Genomic DNA, 26,335 nt, shown 5'->3' on the forward strand with positions numbered 1-26,335 from the left:
TAACTTAGTAGCAATGATATTTATCATATCCTAATATTTTATAATGCTCTGTATATCACTGAGTGCTTAAGTAGTTACCCTTTTTAATCCTCAGAGTCCTCCCTTCAAACAGACAGGATGTCGATATTTAAAAATAAAAAGAAATTAAATTCACCTATTAATATATTTCTAACTCATTGGAAAGGAAATGTCAACTACCAGTTGATTTTCAAGAGTCTCTTTAATTTCAGTTTTGTTTTTCCTTCATTACAGCAGGATACTCAAGCAAACTGAATGTGGCTCTTGGAAACTCTGAGCTATCTTTGGGTTCAGTTCTCTGAAGTTTAAATTACAGTTGTTCCTTTTGGTGATCATCATTCATTCCTCTTTTTCCCCTTGAGCCCCTTCTATGTGTCAGGCCTAGGTTCTGGGGACAGTATATCTCCAAACTGACATTGTACTTATCTTCATGGAACTTAATGGCTTAGTGGAAGAGAAATGAAACAAATATGGACATATGAACTGTAATCAGTGCTCTAGAAGCAATATAAGCAGTAGTATTAGGGAGCAACCTGTTTGTTGTTGTTGTTGTTGTTGTTATTGTTGTTTTGAGATAATCTCATTCTGTCGTCCAGACTGGAGTGCAGTGGTGCAATCATGGCTCACTGCAGCCTCGACCTCCCCGGCTCAAGCAATCCTCCCACCTCAACCCCACAAGTAGCTGGAACAACAGTCAAATGCTCAGCCTGCCTTGGCTTCCCAAAGTGCTGAGATTACAGGCGTGAGCCACCGTTTCAGGCTTAATGTTTTATTTCAAACACACACACACACACACACACACACACACACACACACACACACACACACACCCCTTCCCCCGCCCCCCCACATGAAGAGTTGGCATTTGTAGGCTACATTTTCAGTAAATTGTAAATGAAGAGAATTATGAGAATTTACCTGATAATCCTCATTTATTATAGTTCGGGTTGTGCGTGTGTGGGAAAAATGCTGTCCTGTTTCTGCTAATCCAAGTCTGTCAGCACCATCTCCCCTCTGTCACCTAATGATTTGACTGTATTTCAACCTGTGTAATGGCGAGGCACCACGGTAGCTAGCATTGGCCGAGATGCCTGTCCTTGACAACAAGGTCTTTGTTTGGCTGTGTTGGGAAATATTGGCTACTACCAGGGCTGAGTGCAAAGAGGGTGGTATAGTAACTCAGTTTTTCGTGCTAGCAGCCTGATGGCACAGTTACAGCAAGGATTTGGCAGGAAGGAGCAAGTGTGGATTGCTTGAAGTTTCAAGGGGAGATGAGGCAGGAGAGAATTTAGAACTGTGGTGTTGTTTTTATTAGTTTAGAAGTTTTAATCTTCAATATAGCCGTGTTTTTTTCCAACAGCATAAAGGGTCAGCTTGATGCCCTGTTAAAAAAGAGCCAGAAGTGGGGTTTACAGGTGACAATTTTAGTGTGTTCCTTTTCTTTAAGAAAAATCTTTGATTCTGAAAGAGCTTGACAGAGCTGTTTAATAGTGTGGACATCTGTTGAGGCAGATAGCAGTTTTCTGGATATAGGTCATGTTAATATAAACTCTGGATATAAACAACCTCTGCTGTCTGCTTCAGACTTGAAGACTGTGTGATAGGACCAGGCCCGTGCGGTAGCTCTTTAGTGGTCAGAATATTTGTGAGTGAAAGCCGCTCTTATTTTTCAGAGACAGGAGCTCACTCTCTCGCCCAGGGCACAATTATGGTTCACTCCAGCCTCAATCTCCCAGGCTCAAGCGATCCATCTCAGCTTCCCAAGTAGCTGGGACCATGGGCATATGCCACCATGCCTGGCTAGATTTTTTTTTTTTTTTTAATGTAGGGATGGGGTCCACTCTATTGCCCAGGCTGGTCTCAAACTCCTGGGCTCAAGCAATTCTCCCACCGTGGCCTCCCAAAGTGCTGGGATTATAGGCATGAGCCATTGTGCCCAGCCAGTAAATGGCATTTTCATACATTTACCTCCTTTTTTGTTGTCCCGGAAGGCAGAATCTGGGATCTCTTTTACTTATGTAACTGTTCTCCAATTTCCAAATCAATTTATATCGAAAGAATATATCTGTGGTGCCTGCCCCTTTATCCCTCCCCCAAAACATAGGTATTTATTTTTTTAGAGACAGGGTCTTGCTCTGTCACCCAGGCTGGAGTGCAGTGGTGTGACTGTAGCTCTGTAGCTTTCTGCAGCCTTGAACTCCTGGGCCCAAGCAATTTTCCTGCCTCAGCCTCCTGAGTAGCTAGGACTACAGGTGCCCAAACCCTCCACGCCCCCAGTTTTTTTTATTTTTGGAGTGATGGGGTTTCACCATGTTACCCAGGCTGGTGTTGAATCCTGGGCTCAAGCAGTTTTCCCCATTCACCCTCCCAAAGTGCTGGGATTACGGGTGTGAGCTATTGCACCTGGCGAAAGTAGTTGTTGAAGAACTACTTGGGCAGATGGGAGGTCTTGTTTTACTGCTATGTTTGTGAACAATACAAATTCAATTATTTTTGTGGATGTGACTTCTAGAGAAACAATTAAATTGATTAACCAGAGTGACTGAGGAGACTTTCATTATGTTTCTCCAAGGACATAATGTTGAACAACAAAAAAAGTATTTTGACAAAGTATCATCACCAAAGTATCCCTCATCAGAATATATAGCACAGGCTGGAAACTTGGATTATTGTTTCTTACCTAAAAGCAGTCAGTGGAACAAAGGTTATGTATGTTCTGTTAGCAGTGAAGCTGATACTATAAAGTCTATATGATTTTATTCAAATGGATTAAGAAAATTAACGTGTGTTTATATTTGGAAAACGTCAGATATTTTATGAATAAATTTTAATTCAGCAAATATTTGTTTTTATTACTCCTTAAAGGATAGATTCAGCATTTTGTTTGTTTTTTAATATTATGAAGGAACTTTATACTCCTGATCACTGATGATGTGGGCAGGCCAGCCCGAAGGGACTCCGTGGTTCAGTCTTTACCATGCAATAGCACAGGGGCTTTTGCTTTTAAACATGAGTTCTCTGATTGGGTAGTGCTTGTGTGAGTATTGAAAAATCTCTACAATTGAGGCTTTGGAAGGTTATCAGTTTTACACCTTCTTGTCCTATTCAGATGCCTTTAATTTTTGTTCTGTTTTATTTTGTTTTGCCTTCTTGTAACAGTTAGAATCTTCATTGGATTGTTGAATAGAAATGGTGACAGTGGACGTCCTTGTTTTGTTCCTGATGTTAGAGGGAAAGCTTTCAGTCTTTTACTGTTGGTATGATGTTTGTTCAGGCTGAGGAAGTTCCCTTATGTTCCTGGTTTACTAAGGCTTTTTTTCTTTTTCTTTTTAAATCATTAGTGGTGTTGAATTAAATTTTTCAAGTGCTTTTTCTGTATATATTGATATAATCGTGTGGCTTTTTGTCCTTTATTAATATGTTGTATTAAATTAATTGACTTTTGGAGGTTATAATAATTGATTTTTGGATGTTAAACCATACTTGCTAAGATGAATCCCGTTTGGTCATAGTATCTAATTGAGATTTTCTTTTCTTTTCTTTTTTTTTTTTTTTTTGAGACAGGGTCTTACTTACTGTGTCACCCAGGCTGGAGTGCAGTGATATGATCTTGGCTTATTGTAGCCTCATCCTCCTAGGATCAAGCGATCCTCCCGCTTCAGCCTCAATAGTAGCTGGGACTATAGGCACACGCAACCTCATCCAGCTAATTTTTAAAATTTTTTGTAGAGATGGGACCTTACTATATTGCCCAGGCTGGTTACTCCTGCCTCAGCCTCCCGAGTAGCTGGGACTACAGGTGTGCACCACCTTGCCTGGCTACTTTGTGTATTTTTAGTAGAGACAGGGTTTCACCATGTTTAGTCAGGCTGGTCTCAAACTCCTGACCTCGTGATCCACCTGCCTTGGCCTTCCAAAGTGCTGGGATTACAGGCATGAGCCACTGCGCCTGGCTCAGGCTGATCTTGAACTCTCGGGCTCAGTTGATCCTCCCATCTTGGCCTCCTAGAAGTGCTGGAATTACAGGTGGGAGCCACTGCACCCAGACAGAGGATTTTTTAATTGAGAATTTTTGTTTGTAAATTCTTGAGGAATATTGGTTCATTGTTTTCTTATTTTGTAATGCTCTTGTCTGGCTTTAGTATTGTGGTAATATAAAATGAGCTGGGAAGTGTTGTCTCTTTCTCTGTTTTCTAGAAGAGTTCGTGAAGAATTGGCATTGTTTCTTTATGTATCTGATAGAATTCCATGGTGAAGCCATCTAGTCCTGGTATTTTCTTTTTGGGAAGATTTTTAATTAGTAATTCAATTTCTTGTTTTAGGTATATTGAGATTTTCTGTTTCTTCTTGAGTTGGTATTGGTTATTTATGTCTCTCTAGGAATTTGTCCATTTAATCTAATTTGTCTAATTTGATGGCATACTGTTTTTATATTTTCTTTTATATATTTAAAATATATTTATATTTTATACTGTAGGGTCAATAGTGATGCTCCCTCATTTATTCCTGATTTTGGTAATTTTGGGGGGGATAATTTTCTTTTTTTCTTGGTCAATCTAAATAAAGCTTTGTCTATTTTATTTACTTTTTCAAAGAACCAGCTTTTGGTTTTATTGACTTTTACTGTTTTTCTGTTTTCAGTTTCATTGGGTTTTGCTCTAAACTTTAACTTCTTTCTTTTGGCTTGCTTGGGGTTACTTTACTGTTTAGTTTCTTAAAGTGAAGACGATTGAGATCTTTCTTATTTTCTAAAATAGGTTTAAGTTTAAAGCTATAAAATTCTCAGCTGTGAGCAGTGTTTCACACCTGTAATCCCAGCACTTTGAGAGGCCAAGGTGGGAGGATCATTTGAGGCCAGGAGTTCGAGACCAGCCTGGGTAACATAGTGACACTCCATCTCTACAAAAAAAAAAAAAAAAAAAAAAAAAAAGAAGAAGAAAGAAAAAAAGAATCAGTTGGGTTTAATGGCATGTGCCTGTGGTCCCATCTACTTGGGAGGCTGAGTTGGGAGGATTGCTTGAGACTGCTGTAGTTAGCCATGATCTTGCTGCTGCACTCTAGCCTGCAAGATCCTGTCTTAAAAAAAAAGAAAAAAAAAAAAAAAGCTATAAAATTGTCTTTAGCCACAGCTTTAGCTGCATCCCATAAATTTTGACATGTTGTATTTTTGTTTTTATTCAGTTTAAGGTATTTTAAAATTTTGAGCTGGGTGTGGTGGCATATGCCTGTGGTCCCAGCTACTCAAGAAGCTGAAGCAGGAGGATCACTTGCACCAAGGAGTTCAAGGCCAGTCTGGGCAACATAGCGAGGCTCCATGTCTAAAAATAAAAATTGTATTAATGATGATAATAAATATATTTCTTAATTTTGCTTGTGATTTTTTTTTTCTTTGACCCATGGGTTGTTTGGATGTTATTGTTTGATTTTCAAGTATTTGGAGATTTCTCAAATTTCTTTTGATTGTAGATTTTAATTCTTTGTGATCAGCAAACATATTTTATATTATTTCAATCCTTCTAAATTTGAGACTTGTTTTGTGACATTGCAAATGGTCTAACCTGGACCTTAAAAAGAATGTGTATTCTGCTGTTGTTGGATGAAGTTTTCTATAGATGTCAGTTAAGTCAGTATGGTTAATTATACTGTCTAGTGTTTATACCCTTGCTGATGTTTTGTCTGGTTATTCTGTCAATTATTTAGAGTGGAGTTTTGAAGTCTTCAATTATTAATGAATTGTCTCTCTCAGTTCTGTTTCATTTGTTTTGGTGCTCTGTTGTTAGGTTGCATGTAGGTTTTTAATTATTATATTTCACTGATGACCCTTTTATCATTATAAATTGTCCCTCTTTTTCTCCAGTAATGTTTTTATCTTAAACTAAAAAGAGAATCCTTTAAAAATGATCCTGGGCTGGGCGCGGTGGCTCACGCCTGTAATCCCAGCACTTTGGGAGGCCGAGGCAGGAGGATCATGAGGTCAGGGGATTGAGACCATCCTGGCCAACATGGTGAAACCCCACCTCTACTAAAATACAGAAATTAGCTGGGCATGGTGGCGCGTGTCTGTAATCCCAGCTACTCAGGAGGCTGAGGCAGGAGAATCACTTGAACCCAGGAGGCAGAGGTTGCAGTGAGCTGAGATCACGCCACTGCACTCCAGCCTGGGCAACAAGAGCAAAACTCCATCTCAAAAAACAAACAAACAAAAAAACAAAAAAAAAGATCCTACAGTTTTATTTATTTTTATTACAATGGGGTCTTGCTATATTGCCCAGGCTGGTCTTGAACTCCTAGACTCAAGGGATCGTTCTTCCTTGGCCTCCCAGAATGCTGGGGATTACAGATGTGAGCCACCACACCTGGCCCATACCGTTCTAAATGATCATACACATATACAATCCCAGGAATTTAAATACATGTATGGATTTTTGTGACTTTCATTATAATAAAGATTCAGAAGAGTTTTGTAACCCCCTAAAACTCCCTCATGCTACCCCTTTATAGTCACCTCTTTGCCTACCTATAATCTCTGGCAACCACTGATCTGCCATCCATTCCTGTAGTTTTTTCTTTTAAAGAATGTCACTTAACTTAATAAATTGGGATGTTATATAAGTGGAGCCATACAGTATATAATCTTCCAAGACTAGCTGCTTTCACTAAGCTTGCCTTTGAGATTCATCCAAGCTGTTGCATGTATCAGTAGTTGCTTTTTATTTCAGGATATTCCATTGTGTGGATATACCAATTTGCTTATACAATCACCTGTTGAAGGACACTTGAGTTGTTGCCAGTTTTGAGTGATTGTGAATAGAGCTGCTATGAACATTTGTGTCCAGATTTTTCTGTTAATGTAAGCTTTCATTTCTCTAGGATAGATGCCCAGGTGCATGATTTCTGAGTCATAGGGTAAGTGCTTTATGAGAAACTGCCAAACCACTTTCACGAGTGACTGTATCATTTTTCGTTCTCACCAGCAATGTTGGAGAGTTCTCATTTCCCATTCTTGCCACTACATGGTATTGCCAGCATTTTAAATTTTGGCCATTTTAATAGGTGTGAGTGGGATCTTCTTATGACTTTAATTTGCATCTCCCTAATGGCTAATGGTGGTTTCAGACATCTTTCATGTATTTGCTATCTTTGTACCTCTTTGGTGGAGTGTCCTCTTTAAGCTTTAAATTTGCTATGTTAACCTTTTCTGAGAAATCTTATTTTAGGTACACTTAAAAATACAATCTTTTCTTGATAACAAAGTCATTGTATGAACTGTAATTTTCATATGGGTTTGAAATTACAGGGAAGCTAGCAATGACTATTGAGTGGTGTAAGGCTGCTTATGTCTCTTTCAGGCATTCCTTTTCTGCTGTTAGCATGCCTGATTCTGGCAGTGCTTCCACTTCCATTCGGTTTTTGGTTTACTGCTTTTATGAAATGATCATGAATAAGGCTATAAGAATCATGTTTGAAAAAAAATAGTGAAGTGCTTCTCAGTAAATTCCCCAAGAGCTCTTCTCTAAGGAAAGTACATAAACTCTGTAACATCTGTTTTAGTGCTCCTCCAAACTGGGGGCCCTGAAATTCATCTGAGGAGTCTGTGAGTGTGAATCTGTGTGTGCAGTGAGCATTGTCTATGAGCTGAATAAACAGTATTCCATGCAGTACATATTCTACTATTTTCAGAATTATATGGATGCTGTTGAACAATCTTGAGTTTGGGTAGTTTTTGTTTTTTCTTTATGTAATTTGCCTACCAACTCTTTTGCTGCTTTTTCTAGTCCGTGATGTGGTGAGTAGAATTTTTCAGATGGAGCTTTCTTGATAAGTGAGGTATTACTGTTTGTGACTAGTCAGGACAGGATGAAGTAGGCTTTTTGTTTGTGCTGTTTAACCATAGGTTATCAAATGTTCTTTACAAGGCTTATATTAATTTATTAATTTTTGATGATGTAGTATTGCATACTTTTGCTGAAAAGCATTTTGGGAAAATTAGGATACTTCAGATTCTTCAAATGATAGGGTTTATATGATTTGTCATTAACACTAATCTAACAAGTGACAAGAAAAAGTATATTCCTCAAGTTGTTATTGCATAAAAGAAACATTTAAATCATGGTTTGCAGGGTTGATTCTTTCCCACATTCATCAAGTCATTTTGATGCTTTTATTATAAATAAAACTTGATTAGTAGATTGTTAGTTTAATCAAAGATTATAAAAATAGAAAAGGAGGTGGCACGTGCCTGTAGCTACCTGGTAGGGTGAGGTGGGAGGATCACCTGAGCCTGCGGAGGTTGAGGCTGTAGTGGGCTATGATCGTGTCACTGCATTCCAGCCTGGATGACACAGTGAGACCCTGTCTCAAAAATATGTATATATCTATACAGAGAGAGAAAAGGAAACTCTTCCTATGTATGTAATTTATATAAGCACAACATCTGCTTGCGTATTGTTGACCAGATTTTTTCTCAAGTTTTTAAAGTACTTTGCTGCTTTGCATGCCTCATCCTGTCAAGCAAGTTCTTGTTTAAGGAATATGTAATTGTATCATAATATGGTAATTTGTTATGCAAATATCATATCTTAAATTATCAATCTAACAGCTTTATTTTCCTCAGTTATTTTTGGTTCTCATTTCAGGATGTGAAATAGGATAGCAATAGAAATTAGCAAAAGGAAAAAAAAGGTGATTGATGTGCTAAATAATCATTGCCCTAATTTTAGTAATGAGATATTCAGGGGTGTAATTTGTTTTGGGGGGCTTTTTTGATTTGTTTTGTTTCACATTACTTAGATTCTCAGTTTCTTCATGATATTAAAGCAAAACCTGTCTTTAAGAGCCACTGTGCAAAATTGTTTGAATGAGAATAGAAATTTAAAATCGTTTAATTGAGAAGGAGGTCATTGATATGTGTCCCACCAGAAACCAGAGATTCAGTTCCTAACCATTTTTCACTAAAATAAGCCCTAAGGTTCTTTTTTATTGAGCAATTATGCCAAATTTGTTAGAAATTAAAATCTTTGCATAAACTTCTTTAAAATATCTATTATAAACATGCTAATATTAGTTGAATTAGTCTAAACATTCCTTTTTTTGACATTTGGACGTAGTGTTTGAGTGTCATTGAGATTAACTAGATAAAGGAAGACATTGATAAGTTGAACATTAAAATTAAGAATTTCTCTTCAACAAAATAAAAATTAAGAGCAAAAAGGCAAGTTACAGAGTGGGAGGAAATATTTGCAACACATACATCCAACAGAGCACTCATAACCACAATACATAAAGAGCTACAAATCAATAAAAGCGTGACACTCCCTCCCTCTTGCCTTCCCCCAGCCAAAGATCTAAGACTTGAAGAAGCAATTCACAAAAGAAGATGCTCATTTGGACAATAAAATAAGCCTCTTAAAAGGCCCTCAAAATCATATGGTGGAAGCGCAAATTAAAGCCACAGTTGTATTATTATATTCTTACCAGTAGAACAAATGAAAAAGATAACTCCAAGTGTAGAGCAATTGGACAGCTCTGCTCGTGGAAGTATAAATTGCAACTTATACACCCTGCTAGTGGGAGTAAAATTGCTAGAACTTTTGACCCAGCAGTTCCACTACCAGGTGTACAGATACAATGGAAACACACACATCTGTGCCCCAAAGAATATGCCAAAAGTGTTTATAGCAGCATTATTTGTGCTTGCATCAAACTAGAATAGAACAAAATGTTCATCAAAAGTTAGAAGGGGGCAGGGTGCAGTGGCTCACTCCTGTAATCCCAGCACTTTGGGAGGCCAAGGCGGGCGGGTCACCTGAGATCGGGAGTTTGACACCAGCCTGACCAACATGGAGAAACCCCATCTCTACTAAAAATACAAAATTAGCTGGGCATGGTGGCGCATGCCTATAATCTCAGCTACTCAGGAGGCTGAGGTAGCAGAATTGCTTAAACCCGGGAGGCAGAGGTTGCGGTGACCCGAGATCGTGCCATTGCACTCCATCCTGGGCAACAAGAGCGAAACTCCGCCTCCAAAAACAAAACAAAACAAAAACATTAAAAGGTGCCGAGTGCAGCGGCTCAGGCCTGTAATCCCAGTACTTTGGGAGGCCAAGGCAAGAGGATTGCTTCAGCTCAGGAGTTTGAACCAGCCTGGGGAACATAGTTAGACGTCATCTCTATAAAAAATTTTAAAAATTAGCTGGGTGCAGTGGTGTGCATCTGTGGTCCCAGCTACTTGGGGGGCTGAGGTGGGAGGATCGCTTGAGCCCAGGAGTCGAGGCTACAGTGAGCCATGTTGAAGCCACTGCACTCCAGCCTGGGTGACAGAGCGAGACCCTGTCTCAAAAATAAATAAATAAATAAAAATAAATATATATGAAGAAAAAAGATAAATGGTGAAATCCTCTGTAGTATTTTGCTTTCCATAGCAACAAAGATGAAGTTCACAATGTGAAACAAAAGAAGACATAAGAAAGTGTACATATTCTCTGACCCCATTTAAATAAATTGCTTTTCCCATGTTGTAAAGTGACCATACAAAAACAGGCAGAACTAATCTGTGGTGCTGGAAGTCAAAATGGTTGTTAGCACTGGAGGTTACTGAGGACTTATGAGGGTGGCTTCTGAGGTGTTGGTAATGTTCTCTTTCCTGATCGAGTAGTAGTTACAGTGGTCGGTTCAGTTTCTGAAAGTTCTAAAAGATGTACATGTAGAATTTGTACGTTTCAGTTTTTATAAAAGCTTCATTAAAAAATTAATTGAAGTCTGGGCACAGTGGCCTCATGCCTGTAATCCCAGCACATTGGCAGGCCAAGGTGGGAGGATTGCTTGATTTCCAGGAGTTTGAGACCAGCCTGGGTCTCAAACCATGGCGAAACCCCGTCTCTACAAAATAAATAAATAAATAAATAATACAAAAATTAGCTGAGCATGTTGGCATGTGCCTATAGTCCCAACTGTTCGGGAGGCCGCGGTGGGAGGGCCACTTGAACCCGGGAAGTAGAGGCTGCTGTGAACTGCCAGTACACTCTACCCTGGGCGACATAGTAAGACCCTGTTTCCAAAAAAAAAAAAAAAAATCTTCATTGAACATAGCTTTTTTTTTTTTTTCTTCTGTGTGTCATATTGTAGCCTGGTATGCTAACAAGTAATTAGAATTCTTCAGTATTAGCCATGGTTGTTCTTAAAAACCATTTTACCTTCATGGACTGATGCTTTTATTTGGCTATTTTGGTTTTACTATCATGAGAGCCTTTGAGATACTTGAAAAAAAAAAAAAATATATATATATATATATATATATTTGAGACAGAGTCTCGCTGTGTTGCCAGGCTGGAGTGTAACCTCCGCCTCCAGGGTTTAAGTGATTCTCATGCCTCAGCCTCCCGAGTAGCTGAGACTACAGGCACATGCTACCATGCCTGGCAATTTTGTGTGTGTGTGTGTGTGTTTTTAGTAGAGACAGGGTCTCACTATGTTGGCCAGGCTGGTTTCAAACTCCTGGCCTCAAGTGATCCACCCGGCTCAACCTCCCAAAGGGATTACAGGCATGAGCCACCATGCCCAGCCTAGAATCTTGAGTATTTTAAAAGCCCAGAAACAAAAATTTTTGGCTATTAGGGTAGAGTATGTTAAATATGAAAACTTGTCAACATTTAAAACATGTTGCAGATAACTAAAATAAAATACTCTTATTCCTAGTGACCCATTTAATCCAGAGAGACTATTTTTCACCTACATTAGTGCAAATGTAGTTATGGTTTAATATACTTCTCAGTTTTATCATCCTTGTGTTCTCGTAAGACTCCTCTAACACCGTGTTCTGCCACATGTTAATGAAGTTCTTTATGTTTCTTTCCCTGTTATACTCTGATTTTCTTAAGGACAGGAGCTGCTTTTTAAATTTCTCCTAGCATAGTGCATTCCTTATATTAAATAATCAGAAAATATTATCTCCATATTTTATAAAAGACTTAGTAATAAAATTCCAGAAGTTTTGAATTCTTATGCATGTCCCCCCTTGCTGTAGGACAGTTAGTTGCAATTCTTGTATGATGTAACATGAAATTTTGTAGTCATCATGTCCCTGACCTCTATTGAAAAAATGTGCTTGATAAATTTTAGCATGATGAAGTTTGTATGTCTGAGTTTAGCTTCAAATGGTGTAGATAGTATTATTTAAAAATGGGAAGATCTGGAGTTCTTATATCTAATAGTATAGCTCATTTTATCCTAAGAACAATGCATGTGAAAGTAAATTACAAAGTTATACAACTAGAAGGTCATGATGGAATTTTCTGGCATGTTACCTGTTTTTGTTTTGATGCTGAACCCATGTGTATATTCAGTCACTTTTAAATGTTCTCTGAGTAAACTGCTGTCCTCAATAAGCTGATTATGCTGAAGAAACATTTTAAGATGCTGATTTCATTGACTTGATCATCCTTTATATTTCCAACAGTATAGGCAGAAGTAGTAGAATACATTTATTGGTTGGCAAATTCAGTTTCCTTATTTGTAAAACATTTAAAAATTTGTAGTGCATCCAGTTCAGAGTGGCTAATTGTGATTATGGTAATTGCCAAAGGTGCTTGACGCTGTAAATGTTTCACATATTTTTCTTTAATGTTTCTAGACAACCCATTTGTTGAGATTAAAACACCAAAAAAATCGTCACTGAAATTGTTAATATGTATGTATATATTTATTTACTTTTGTAAACTATGTTGGAATAATTTTATATTTACAGAAAAGTTGCAAATGTGTTAATATGTATTAAATTGCCCTGAGTGATAGTTACTTATCTAGTATTTCTCTTAAAAGTTTAATATTTTTATTTTTTTTGAGACAGAGTCTCGGTCTTGTCACCCAGACTAGAGTACAGTGGTACAATATTGGCTCACTGCAACCTCTGCCTCCTGGGTTCAAGCGATTCTTGTGCCTCAGCCTCCCAAGTAGCTGGGATTACAGGTGTGTGCCACCAGGTGTGGCTACTTTTCTGTATTTTTTGTAGAGACAGGGTTTTACCATGTTGTCCAGGCTGGTCTCAAACTCCTGGCCTCAAGCGATCTATCTGCCTTGGCCTCCCAAAGTGCTGGGATTACAGGTATGAGCCATCGCGCCCAGTCCTAAAAGTTTAATATTTTTAATAAAAATATTCTTGTCTCTGATCTTGTTCAATAAAAAAAAAATTTAAAGTTTTTGTGTTTAAATGAAAGTATGCTGTTTTCATTATCCTTTTTCCTTAAATGTCATTTTTCCTGTGCTGTAACATGACCGTTACTCACATGGAGTGCTGTGAAATGTGTATATGTAAGATTTATGTTCTGCATTTATGAGCATGAATAAACGTTACTGAATCAGAACCGTGGGGATCATTTAGTTATAGAATCAGAAATCTGGTGAAATGTTCACAGTTTCCTATTTTTATAAAACAGAGTAGTTTAAAACTGCATATGCCAGCTTTCCTCTCTCTATTCTCTACCTCCTTTTCTGTTGTAGTTATATAGTAACACGTGAGGGAAGTTGGTAAGGACCAAAAGATACCATATTTTTAAAAATAAAAGATACCTTCTATTGTAAGGCACACCATTATCTTATGTATTATTAAGGAAAAAAATGCTCTGTGAGGAATTGAGTTGAATCTGGGAAAATTTTTAAAAAAGAAAAAAATGCAGCCTTCTAAACTATGGCACATTGCTAAGATGCCAGGAAATATAAGATGCGTACTGATTTCAGTGATGTTGAAGTGAAGAAAAATGTGAATTTTAGATCCATTCCAAACATTCCTTGCTCTAACAAAATTATTTTATTTGGGGTTTAACTTGGGACTTCTACCTTTTTTAGAAGTCAGTAGAGAATCATTCATTTGAACTCTGGCTTTTTGCTAAAATGCTGTTGGAGACGTGTTCTAATCAGTATGTCTGATTTTAAGAAGATATGAAAATTTTTAATGAAGGATCACTTTTGTAGACAAATTTGAGTGCTTTTTGGGAGCAATGAAAAGCCATGTTGTGCTTCATGTAACCTGAGTTCTTGTGTTATGTGGCCTCCAAGAGCCATTTTGTAGTTTTCATTCTCCTTTGCATTTTCATTGTTTCTCTTTACTGACCATTCACTTTCCTTAATATTTTGTAGTTTAAAAAACTTTTCTCAACCTTGATTCTTTTCCAAACTATCACCGTTCTTTCATTCTTTGCCCAGGTGATCAACAATTTATTTCCCCGCATTGCCTGGGTCACTCACAGATACTTCCCCACCTCATTTATTTAATAAGCAGTTCTCTGTGTAAGATCTGTGTCTCTACCATTTTGCTGAAGTGCCTCTCTCTTAGGTCCTTAGTAGCTTTCTAAGTTTCTAAAGCTGGTGACCTCTTTTTATTTCATTTGTGAAAACTTACCGTTACTGCTGTCTAACATTGGGATCTCACAGCTCTCTCTTTCTTCTTTTTTTTTTTTTTTTAGCACTGTCGCTATAGGTTTTTGTCTCTGTGTCAATCTTGTTATCCCATGATGCCTAGATTTTGTTTCATCTACTTTATTATTAAAATAATATTGAAAAATAAAATGCTCCATAAATGTATCACTCCAATATAATACTTATTTGAACTTTGAGTTTTTCCATCTTTGTCTTGGCCTAGCTTTTCATTCTTTACCTAGTGTACTTTTAATCTTGGTAGGTATATTACAAGTTGAACATCTCTAATCCCAAAATTGGAAATTTGAAGTGCTTTAAAATTTAAAACTTTTTGAGCACCAACATGATGCCGCACGTGGAAATTTCCACACCTGACCTGATGTGACAGTTTGCACTTCATTGATGTTTCGGTGTACACAAACTTTGTTTTGTGCACAAAATTATTGAAAATATTGTATGAAATTACCTTCAGGCTATGTGTATAAGGTGTATATGAAACATAAATGAATTTTCATGTTTAAACTTGGGTCCCATCCTTAAGATATCTCATTATGGATATGCAAATATTCCCCCCCCCCAAAAAAAAAATCCCCACGAAAACGTAAATTCTGAAATGCTTCTGGTCCCAAGCATTTTGGATAAGGGATACTCATCCTGTATTCTGTTTTCCACCTTAACATGGTATCAGTTATTTTTCCAGGTTTGCACACGTTGTCCCATTATTGTCACATGAAAGAACAAAAAATTATAGGTTATAGTTTTGTTGCACCATAATTTTCTATATATGTCTATTGTTGGATAATTGACTTGTTTCCAGATTATTTGTGTTTTGCTTCAAAAACATTGTAGTAGAATGTATATTTGTTCCTATAACCTTTTGCTTCTGTTGTATTATTTACATAAGATCCTTTTCTGGGAGTGCCATTAATTACTTGTCCAAGCAAATACATATATATATATTTTTGGAGACAGAGTTTTGCTCTTTTTGCCTAGGATGGAGTGCAGTGGCGTGATCTCGGCTCACTGTGACCTCTGCCTCACAAGTTCGAGTGATTCTTGTGCCTCAGCCTCCCAAGTAGCTGGGATTACAGGGGCGTGCCACCACACCTGGCTAATTTTTGTACTTTTAGTAGAGACGGGGTTTTACCATGTTGGCCAGACAGGTCTCGAACTCTTGACCTCAGGCGATCCACCCGCCTCAACCTCCCAAAGTGCTGGGATTACAGGTGTGAGCCACCGTGCTGGGCCAAATGTACAAAATATTATTTTGCTAATTTAGTAGTTGTACAATGATGGTACTTCATTTTTGCTTTAATGTTTATTTTTTTGATTGTTAAGGGTATTTTTACATGTTTAATATGGAATTTATATTTCTCTATGAATTCTCTCCATATTATTATCTCACATTTATCTATTTTGTAATCTTTTTTTTTTTTTTCCTTTTTTTTCTTCTTTGACACAGGGTCTCGTCTTGTTGCCCAGGGTGGTCTGGAACTCCTGGGCTCAAGCGTTCCACCCACCTCTGCCTCCCACAGTGCTGGGATTACAGGCGTGAGCTACCTTGCCTGGCCTGTTTTGTAGTCTAATGCAAAAGCCATAGCAGAGGTACCTATTTTATATTGTAGAATTTCTAAATTATGTTCTTTTTAAGCCAAATGTGCAGAGATATTACGCTTATTCACAGTCTGATGGCTTTTGCAGTGTAATGCCTTAAATTCTTGCCTTCTAGGTTAAATGGGCCTTTTTGCTCTCCTCATGACATAAAAATTTAGAGGAAAACTTGGTAACTTTTTCACTTTATTAACTGATCATTTTTGTTAATATGACAGCACAACGTACTCTCATAGAGTGCAGCAGTTGGAGGGAAATTTTGTTGTTGATTTGTGCCTAATTTTTTTTTCCCGCCTGTTTGTTTCATTTGAAAGTGTTTTTAACATGTAAGATGAATTTTGTCATATGATAATTCTGGTCAATGAAAAATGTCTTCCAAGACCTTGATACAGCATTTACATTGACAGTAATTAAGACACTCATCTTTCTGTGTTAACCTTAATCAATTGATGTGTAGTTCAGTTTCGTGGGTAGTTTAGACTTGAATTTGGTTGTTAAGTAGATTACTTTACAGTGGACCATGATCTCTTTCTATGGCTGGAGTGTCACAACTGAATGAATTTTTGCTGTAATCTGTGCACCATCAATTTAACTCATTTTGAAATCTGTCTTGACCATCTTACTCCTTGTACTTCCTTTCTCTTACTGTTACTTACTTACCTTTCAGTTTCTCATACTGACTTGAATTATGGTTATTTCCTAAAGTTCCTTCATTATTGCCATTTCCTTTTAATATATTCTTTTTTTGTGAACTCAGTCTTCTTTCATTTTAACATATGTCAAGCTCCCCTAAAGCTATAACTCTAGCCCTGTCAGCCTTCTCTTACCAGCCAGAGGTCTGTGTTTTCAGCTCCTCTCTTGACTCCATCATTCTGCAGCGGACTCACAAACTTAAGTGCCTGCAGGGGCCTGGCAAACAATGGCAATGAGTAAAAGCAGGCCTTGGGATAAGAGGAAATATTTTTCTACTGTAAGAAAAAAAGAGGGCAAGTGGGACGATAGAGGGTAACCGGCATAAGCTCAAGGTGAGGAAGACAGTCTTGGGGACTGTGGAGAGGAGGAGAATGCCTGTTTCATGCTGGCCATTTGGCTCCAGCCACCATTGCTGTTTGGGAATGTGGCCTCAAAGCTATCAGATCTACCAGTTTTTCAAGAGAAGCTGTTAATCTGTATTTTCATTTTAAATACATGATTTTAAAAAATGGAATTGAATTTCTGTAAAACACTCCATGGGTCAAGGAAAATATGCTCATGGACAAAGTTCTATATACAGGCTCTTAATTTGTAATCTCCTCCAGTAAAGGTGGCACTTTAAGTTTGGTATGTTACTAACTATCCCTCCCCATTTTTCTCTTGTTTCTTTGTTCATATAATAGACCATCCATTCAGCTTCTTAACACCTCCTCACCTCATTACTTCTTTATTTGGAAAAGGGATCTGGGTCATGGGAAAGGCTTTTTCTAATTTAAAGGAAGTTTGTACATGTTTATAAGCCGAAGAGAAGCCAAAGAAGTGATTTTGGAAAGAGAGAAGATACTAGAACATGGTATGTCCACTGGGGATGGCATCCAGGGTAGAGAAGCCAGCCACAGAGTTCCAGGAGCTGATGCTGATTCACCTTGCATACTTTTATTTCCGAACAAATATGTTTTAACCAAAAAGTTTTCTTTTTTCTTTTTATGCATATCATGTTTCCTTGAATTTCTTGAGGGAATTTATTATACTTTAAAAAACATAGTCTTTGTTTTTTGTATGAATTTTTTTTAGGTATTCTTGAGTTCAGTACTCCTTTTCATGTTGCTGATTTTCATGGGATGAGTAGCGATTGTCATAGATTTATTTGTAGTAAGTGGTAGAACTAAAAAGTTGAATTCAGCTTTGCTGTAAAGACTTTTATTCACCTGGTAGTGCATGTAGACTGTTATTACAGAAGCCATGGTGAGTGTACCCTGTTGAGTAGTGTAGATTTTCCCATAAGATGTGTGAGTTTTAATTCCCTGGCTCACCATCCAAGGCCTGCTGCTTCTCCCAGAATCGGCTGACATGGTTAGTTATTCCTGGATTCTGCTAGGAAAATTTATTTGAAGGTCCGTCCTCTTACTTGTAACGAGTTACAGTTCTCTTGGCCCTATGGGGTTTGTCCTCGTGCTGTTTCCATATGCTTTCTGTTTCTCAGAATTTTTCACTGGTCTGGTCTGCTGATATCATCTATATTGGGATTTCCTGTACTTCCTGAATTTCTGTTTTTATTTTCTTATTAAGTTGAGATAGGATGGAAAAAAGGTAAATTTTTAGGTTGTATTTAAAAACAAAATCTTTCAACAAATTTGAACATCTAATTGGTTTCTATTAGTTATTCATGAACTGGGAAGCATACGTCTACAAATTTGGAGCTCCATTGTGCATGGCAGAACAATTGTTTTTTTGTAAGGTAGCATGAGCAATATCAAGGAAACAAGCTGGGCACGGTGGCTCACGCCTATAATCCCAGCGCTTTGGGAGGCTGAGGCCAGTGGATTGCTTGAGGTCAGGAGTTCTAGACCAGCCTGGCCAACATAGTGAAACTCTGTCTCTACTAATAATACAAAAAATTAGCTGGGTGTGGTGGCAGGTGCCTGTAATCCCAGCTACTAGGGAGGCTGAGGCAGGAGAATTGCTTGAACCCGGGAGGCGGAGGTTGCAGTGAACTGAGATCACGCCATTGCACTCCAGCCTGGGCAACAAGAGTGAAACTCCATCTCAAAAAAAAAAAAAAGAAAGAAAAAAGAAAGAAAGCTCAAGCAAACAGTACAATATAAAAGAGCAGATTTGTTAACATCAGGTTATTTCAGGTTACTTTTCTTTTAAGGGTTAAAGCAGAAGAGACAGGAACTTCCGTATCATGCCAGTTCAGGTTGACTGGGCTCTTCTGGATTGGTTTCTGTGAATCTCCTGGGTTTTTTTGGAAACACTGGCCTGTTTGGGATTTATCTGTTAATAAAGTTTCAACTTGACACAAGTGCCCCCACTTTGATCTGGCCTGCTGGAGCCTAATGCAGAAGCTCAGTTCAAAACAGTGGCCTCCTGTAAATTTTATTTAACAGTTCTTGGCAACTTTGAACCAAAAATCTTTTCTCTTTATACAGCTTGCTTTTTTGTTTCTGCTCATGCTAGTTCCCCTTAATCCCCCCCACCTTTTTTTTTTTTTTTTTTTTTTTTGTGAGATGGAGTTTCACTCTTGTTGCCCAGGTTGGAGTGCAGTGGCACGATCTTGGCTCACGGCAACCTCTGCCTCCCAGGTTCAAACAATTCTCCTGCTTCAGCCTCCCAAATAGCTGGAATTACAGGTGCCCGCCACCACGCCCAGCTAATTTTTTGTATTTTTAGTAGAGACAGGGTTTCATTATGTTGGCTGGGCTGGTCTCAAACTCATGACCTCAGGTGATCCACCCAGGTCGGCCTCCCAAAATGCTGGGATTACAGGTGCGAGCCACCACGCCTGGCCTAATCCCCTTTCTTTATGTACAAATCTCAAACATAATATACTATTTACTGTTAATATGTCTGTGACATTGCTCATAAGATTATCTGGCATAGAATGTTTTTGCCCTATTGTTTTGCCTGGGAATTATTGCCAGGGGTGCATATAGCTCAGTAACTCAAATCAGGGCCCAGTACCACTTCATAGCTGTGTCACTTTTGTGAATTGTGTATTTAGCTCCTCCATCCCTCCTGAGAATTATGGATAATAATAGTATGTGCCAGTTAATGTTGGTATGAACCAATCGATGAGACAGTCAAAGTAAAACATCTGGGACATAGTCCTGAAACATTATTAGCTTAAAATGGTTGAGTGAATAAGTACGGGCCTTGACAGCTCAGCTCAGGTGTGGCATTCCATTTCACTTTGCCTGATTTTCTTCCAGCCCTCCTCCCCTTTCCCCAGATCCCACATCAGAACTAATGTTACCCTGTCTTTCCCTGAAATGTTTTTCATACAGAGAGTTTAGTATACTTACCATTGATCTACTTTTCTTTTAGTTAGTTGGGGATTATTTCAGTCATTATGTATGATCTTTCAGTAAACAAGGGATGCCTTTGTTCCCCAGGTGAATTGAATTAAAGTGCCTTTTTCCTTGTATGACTTCAAATTTAAAAACCTTTAAAACTCACAGTGTTTCCCATGTTGCCTAGTGTGACATAAGAAGTATATGTTTAGTCTCTGACCTGGGTTCCTGGCACAGATCTAAAACTTCTAAAACTTCTTGACTGATAGGGTATGACAGGAGCATTTTCAGCCCCCCTCCCCCGCCTTTCCTTTTGAGACAGGGTCTCACTGTTGCCCAGGCTGTAGTAGAGTGGTGTGAACACAGCTCACTGCTGCCTCTACCTTCTGGACTCAAGCAATTCTCCCACCTCAGCCTCCCTAGTAGCTGAGACTACAGGCGTGGGCCACCATGCCTGGCTAAATTTTTTATTTTTTTTTTGCAGAGTTGGGGTCTCACTTTGTTGCCCAGGCTGATCTTGAACTCCTGGGCTCAAGCAATGTGCCCACTTTTACATCCCAAAGTGTTGGGATTGCAGGCATGAGCCATTGCTCCTGGCAGGAGCATCTTTTGTTACAGTATTTGGTCTTAGTCCTTGGTTCCTGACACAAGAGCTTCGAAGACCCTTGACCTCTCAGGAGTGATAAGAGTGTCTTTTTGTATATTAATACGATGACTAGTGGTTGAAAACCCCTGAACCGCTTTGGAATGGGGACTGGTTTCCTGGGTAATCAGTCATGTGAGTAGAGGTTTGGAACTTTCCATCCCATCCCGTTAGCTCCATGGAGGAAAGATGGGCCGGAGGTTTAGAGAGTTTTCCAGAAAACTCTTCAAAAGGACAGCCTCAGAGAGCTCCCGGGTTGGTGAACACATTTAGGTGCTGTGCCCCGAGAGGGCTTGCCTCCTCCCTTACCCCACGATATGCATCTTCCATTTGGCTGTTCCTCACTTATATCTTTGTAAAAAACTGGCGAACAGAAGTACCTGTTTTCTGGAGTTTTGTGAGTCCTTCTAGGAAATTCTCAAACTCAAGGAGGGGGTCATGGGAAACTCCCTTCCCACCTCCCACGCAATTTATTTTCTGTAGGTAAGAAATACCTGAGGCCTGGACTTGATGGTTAGCGTCTGAATTAGGAACAGCCTTGTGGGATCTAAGCTATGAGGACTAAACTCTGACCTTTTTGTCTCTTGCCCAAATTCCTACAGGGGTCTGGGAAGTCACTCTCTCTAAATCATAAAATCTCATCAACTGGGTTTTACTTAACCAGCCTGACTGGCATAACATCACATGACAGATAAAGGAGGAAATGGAAATATTTTACGTTAAAATATGTTCTTTCACGAGGTCAGGAGATCGAGACCATCCTGGCTAACATGGTGAAACCCCGTCTCTACTAAAAATACAAAAATTAGCTGGGCATGGTGCCACGTGCCTATAGTCCCAGCTACTCGAGAGGTTGAGGCAGGAGAATTGCTTGAACCCAGGAGGCGGAGGTTACAGTGAGCTGAGATCGCGCCACTGCACTCCAGCCTGGCGACAGAGCGAGACTCTGTCTCAAAAAAAAAAAAAAAAAAGGTTCTTTGCCATATTTTGACATGGCCCTGCAATGCCATCTTTTGTGTGTGGGGGGAAGCCGGGGTTGGGGGGGTTGGGAGGGGGGTGGGAATGTGCATCTATAAAGAATCTCTGTTAACTAGATCTTTCCCCTTCCAGGCCCTCCCTATCCTGAAGACATTAGCTGAGAGTCTGGCACCTTTTAAAGGTCTGATCATCAATTGTCTCTCTGGGCGGCCACCTATGAGACTTCATCTGTGTGGTAAGAACTTTTGTCTCCATAGCTCCTTATCTTAACTCAGACACTCCTTTCTGTTTATTCCAGTTCTTTAGATAGTAACTCCTTCAACCAATTGCCAATCAGACTTTGAATCCACCTGAGACCCACTTCCCCCAACCCCCTCAAGTTGTCCCACCTTTCCAGATCGAACCAATGTATACCTCACATATACTGACTGATGTCTCGTGTCTCCCTAAAACTAAGCTGAAACCCAACCACCTTGGGCACGTATTCTCAGGACCTTTTGAGACTGTGCCTCAGGCCATGGTCACTCATGTTTGGTTCAGAGTAAATCTTTTCAAGTATTTTACAGAGTTTGGCGTTCTTCATCAATAGCTAACTCCAGGTAGACAGTATCACCGTAGAATTGAACTGTAAGACATCTGGTTGGTGTCTTGGTGTCTGCCAAGAATTGGACACTTGGTTGTTGTGGAACTCCCCATTCCCTATTTGATGATTTGATGTTGGAATTTGTTGGTGTGTGTAGAAGAAACATAGTGTTTCTTTTTACCTAGTGTATCAGTCAGGGTTCTCCAGAGTGTGTGTGTTTATAAATACAAATATATTTATATGTGTAAAGAGAGAGACAGACATACAGACATGGAAATAGATATTGACCGATTTTTGTTTTGTTTTGTTTTAGAGGCAGGGTCTCGCTCTGTTGCTTAGGTTTGTGTGCAGTGGTGCAGTCATAGCTCACTGTAACCTCAAATTCGTGGGCTTAAGGGATTCATTCTCCTACCTCAGCCTCCCAGGTAGCTGGGACTAAAGGCACGTGCCACCGTGCCTAGCTAATTTTTAAATTTTTCTATAGAAATGGGGTCTTGCTATGTTGCCTAGGCTGGTCTCAAACACCCGAGCTCTAGTGATCCACCTAGGCTTCCCAAAGGACAGGGGTTACAGGAGTAAGCTACTGAGACTGGCCTGACTGATTTCAAGAAAGAAATTGGCGAGTAAGCCAATTAGGGATGACAGTTAGGGATGGCAAGTTAGAAATCTGTAGGTCAGGCTAGAAACTCGCAGATAGATGTTGATGCTGCGGTCATGACGCAGAACTTCTTCCTTGGGAGTCCTCCGCTGTTGCTCTAAAGGCCTTTCATTACCGGCGGCGAATCCGTACGGGTCTGCAGCAACCTCAATTCTTGCCTCCTCAGAAGAAAAAAATTGACTGAGGGGCATAAGGCAGAAGAAGAGACCGAGGCAAGTTTTAGAGCAGGAGTGAAAGTTTATTAAAAAGCTTTAGAGCAGGAACAAAAGGAGAGAAAGTACACTTGGAAGCGGTGCAGTATCTGCAAAGATACTGAGGGTGACTTGAAGGACAAGTGTGGGGTTTGACCTTTTGACTTGGGGTGTTATATGTTAGCATACTTCCAGGGTCTGGCGTCCTTTCTGCCCTGATTCTTCCCTTGGAGTGGGTTGTCTGTATGCACAGTGGTCTGTTAGTGCTTGGAGGGGAGCATGTGCAGTGTGTTTACTGGAGTTGTACATAACGCTTGCCTGAGGCATTCTTCCCTTACCAGCAGAATGTCCCTAGAAGGTCATACTCTGCCATTTTGCCTCTTAATGCACATGCTTGAGGTTATTCACCCACCCATTGAGAACTTATTAGGAAGCTGCTGATCACCAGTTTCAGGTGTTTCCTATCTATAGGGAGACTACCTTTCCCTGGTGCTGCCTGCAACTTATTGTTATTTTAGTGAGGCGGTGTGACAACTGCCTGTCCACCACTTGATGGTTGCCTAACTTTCCTGGGAGTGTGGGGGCCCAGTCCTGCCCTATTTGTGTCTGACTAGCTGCCCTCTCTGACACTCTGATGAGGCCCACCCACATTGTGGAGGATAATCTTCACTTAAAGCAATTGAAGGTAGATGTTAGCCCCCTCTAAAGAATACCTTCTCAGCAACACCTAGATTAGTGTTCTATTAAATAACTGTCCACGTTAACATATAAAACTAACCATCACACCTAGTGTGCTCTCAACCAGTGTAAAAGACACTGTGTGCTAAGGATTATATCAATAGATTTTAGACTATAGATGCTGATGTCATCAAACATCCAAATGAATGTTTGTGCTTCGAGTTCTCAAAAACATTTCTGTTCTTAGTGACAGGAGAGCATGTATGGTGATGGAGAGTTCTGTGCATGTTTATCCTACTTGTCTGAGGAGGCTGTTCTCCCCCATTTTGAGTAGTTAAATATGAAAGTTATGATTTGAGCCTCTTTCCTTCATGCTTATGTTTAGTGAAAAGATCTGTATATTGGCTAAATTCCAAAAATTTCATAAAGAACCTGATTATTTAGAATTCAGGCCAAATACACAGTTGTTACTGTAGAGAGGAAAGCAAACATTGCTTTCTGATTTATTCAGAGTGCTCTGAAGGAGAGAATGGAGAATTCGTGTAGCAAAATTACGGCTTAATAAATTCAGTGACTGCTAAGCTGATACCCTTAGTACATACCCTTGAGAATGAAAACTAATGGTTTGCTGAAACATATCTCTAGTGTATTCTATAGCAATTCATTTTTTCTGTTAACCTGTATAATTGCTTCTTACATAAGTAAAGATGTCACCTCTACTTAAAATGAAAATCTCTTCTATGGGCTATGGAATTGCTCATTTTGAAATAGTGCTGTTAGAAAGCAAACAATGAATTAGAGCTGAATCAGCTAGAACTGTCACTTGATGTCTCTATGTAACTTACCATCTGTTTTAAAGATTTCGTACATACTGTAACCCACATAATATGGTCCATAATATTCTAAATTCTGAACATTATTATATAATATTTCTTTTTTTTTGAGATGGAGTCTTACTCTGTCTCCCACGCTCTACTGCAGTGGCGCGATCTCAGCAACTTCTACCTCCTGGATTCAAGCCATTCTCCTGTCTCAGCCTCCCAAATAACTGCTACTACACGCACATGCCACCAGGCCCAGCTAATTTTTTTGTTGTTGTTTAGTAGAGATGGGGTTTTACCATGTTGGCCAGGCTGGTCTTGAGCTCCTGACCTCAAGTGATCCGCCTGCCTCAGCCTCCCAGAGTTCTGGGATTACAGGCGTGAGCCACCAAGCCTGGCCTATTATATAGCATTTAAACCCAAGAAAAGTAGATAGTTATCTTTGATGCCAAATTTAACTGTTTACTTTATGATGTTTTCAAACTGTTAAAATGTGTTAACTTTAAGTGGTATAAAGAACCCTTTGCTTTAAGGGTGGTTACTAGGCCTCTAAGTGCACCTCACTCTAACTTGGATCAGGTCAGCTTGGCAATGGTGACACCAGTGCTGATTGAAATCAGACGCATCATGGATAGAACTCTAAGCATTCTGCTCATGTGATGTTGTTTTTGGTTTTGTTTTAAAATCCAGTTATATTGATTTGAAGAGTTTAATTATTTTGGTTGAAATTATGCTGTTCTTAAATACATACATATTTAAACAAATTGATACACTCTACTTGATCTGAGCCTGAGAGAAACAATCTCACCTGTCCCTGTAGCTGAGTAATAAAATAGCAGGATTTTTTATTAACCTTTTTTTCTGAGACAGGGTCTTGCTTTGTTACCCATGCTGGAGTGCAGTGACACCATCGTAGCTCACTGCAGCCTTGACCTTCTGGGCTCAAGTAATCCTCCCACCTCAGCCTCCTGAGTAGCTGGGACTACTGGCATGTGTCACCATGCTTGGCTAATTTTTAAATTTTTTGTAGAGATGAGGTCTCCCTGTATTGCCCAGGCTGGGCTCAAGCAGTCTTCCTGCCTCAGCCTCCCAAATTGTTGGGATTATAAGTGTGAGACTTACTTTTTTTAAAAATGCCTTTTTTTTTTTGGCTGGGTGTGGTGGCTCACGCCTGTAATCCCAGCACTTTGGGAGGCTGAGGCAGGCGGATTGCTTGAGGTGAGGAGTTTGAGACCAGCCTGGCCAACATGGCAAAACCCCATCTCTACTAAAAATACAAAAGTTGGCCTGGTGTGGTGGCGGGCGCCTGTAATCCCAGCTACTCAGGAGGCGGAGTCAGGAGAATTGCTTGAACCTGGGAGGTGGAGATTGCAGTGAGCTGAGGTTTCATCGTTGCACTCCAGCTGGGGCAACAGAACGAGACTTTGTCTCAAACAAACAAACAAAACAAAAACATTTTTTTTTCTTTTAAAAAACCACAGTGTGAATGGTGCTTTCTCAAGAGTTTTAATTGAAGTTTGGGAATGTAAGTACCTTCTTATAAATAAAAATGACATCTATGGTTTTGTTTTATTTCGTTTAATCTAGTGTGTGCCATGGACTCACTGTCATTTTCAAAACTGGGGGATCACATTATTGTATCTTGGTGGACATAATTGTATATGTCTTGGAAACATCTAGAATACCTAGTACAAAACTTTTGGGAAGCTTTTAATGACTATTAAGTGATACTGGCCCAGTCTTCAGTAAGCTTGTAATG

At 39.3% G+C, this 26,335-nt stretch overlaps 1 protein-coding gene across 54 annotated transcripts in view; it reads left to right on the top strand.

Annotated features, from left to right (window-relative positions):
- Positions 1-26,335, top strand: part of SIPA1L1 (signal induced proliferation associated 1 like 1) — a 420,734-nt gene that overhangs the window by 170,490 nt on the left and 223,909 nt on the right. For 48 of the 54 annotated variants that reach the window (XM_047431217.1, XM_047431229.1, XM_047431218.1 and 45 more), the window contains one exon: positions 21,778-21,880. The gene's annotated coding sequence lies outside the window, so the exon portion shown is untranslated. Of the gene's footprint in view, positions 1-12,646; positions 12,704-21,777; positions 21,881-26,335 lie in introns of all 54 variants that reach the window. The other 6 variants (XM_047431251.1, XM_047431215.1, XM_047431240.1 and 3 more) reach the window with 1 other exon arrangement.

This window comes from Homo sapiens, chromosome 14 (assembly GCF_000001405.40).
Source record: "Homo sapiens chromosome 14, GRCh38.p14 Primary Assembly".
Taxonomy (NCBI): Eukaryota; Metazoa; Chordata; class Mammalia; order Primates; family Hominidae; genus Homo; species Homo sapiens.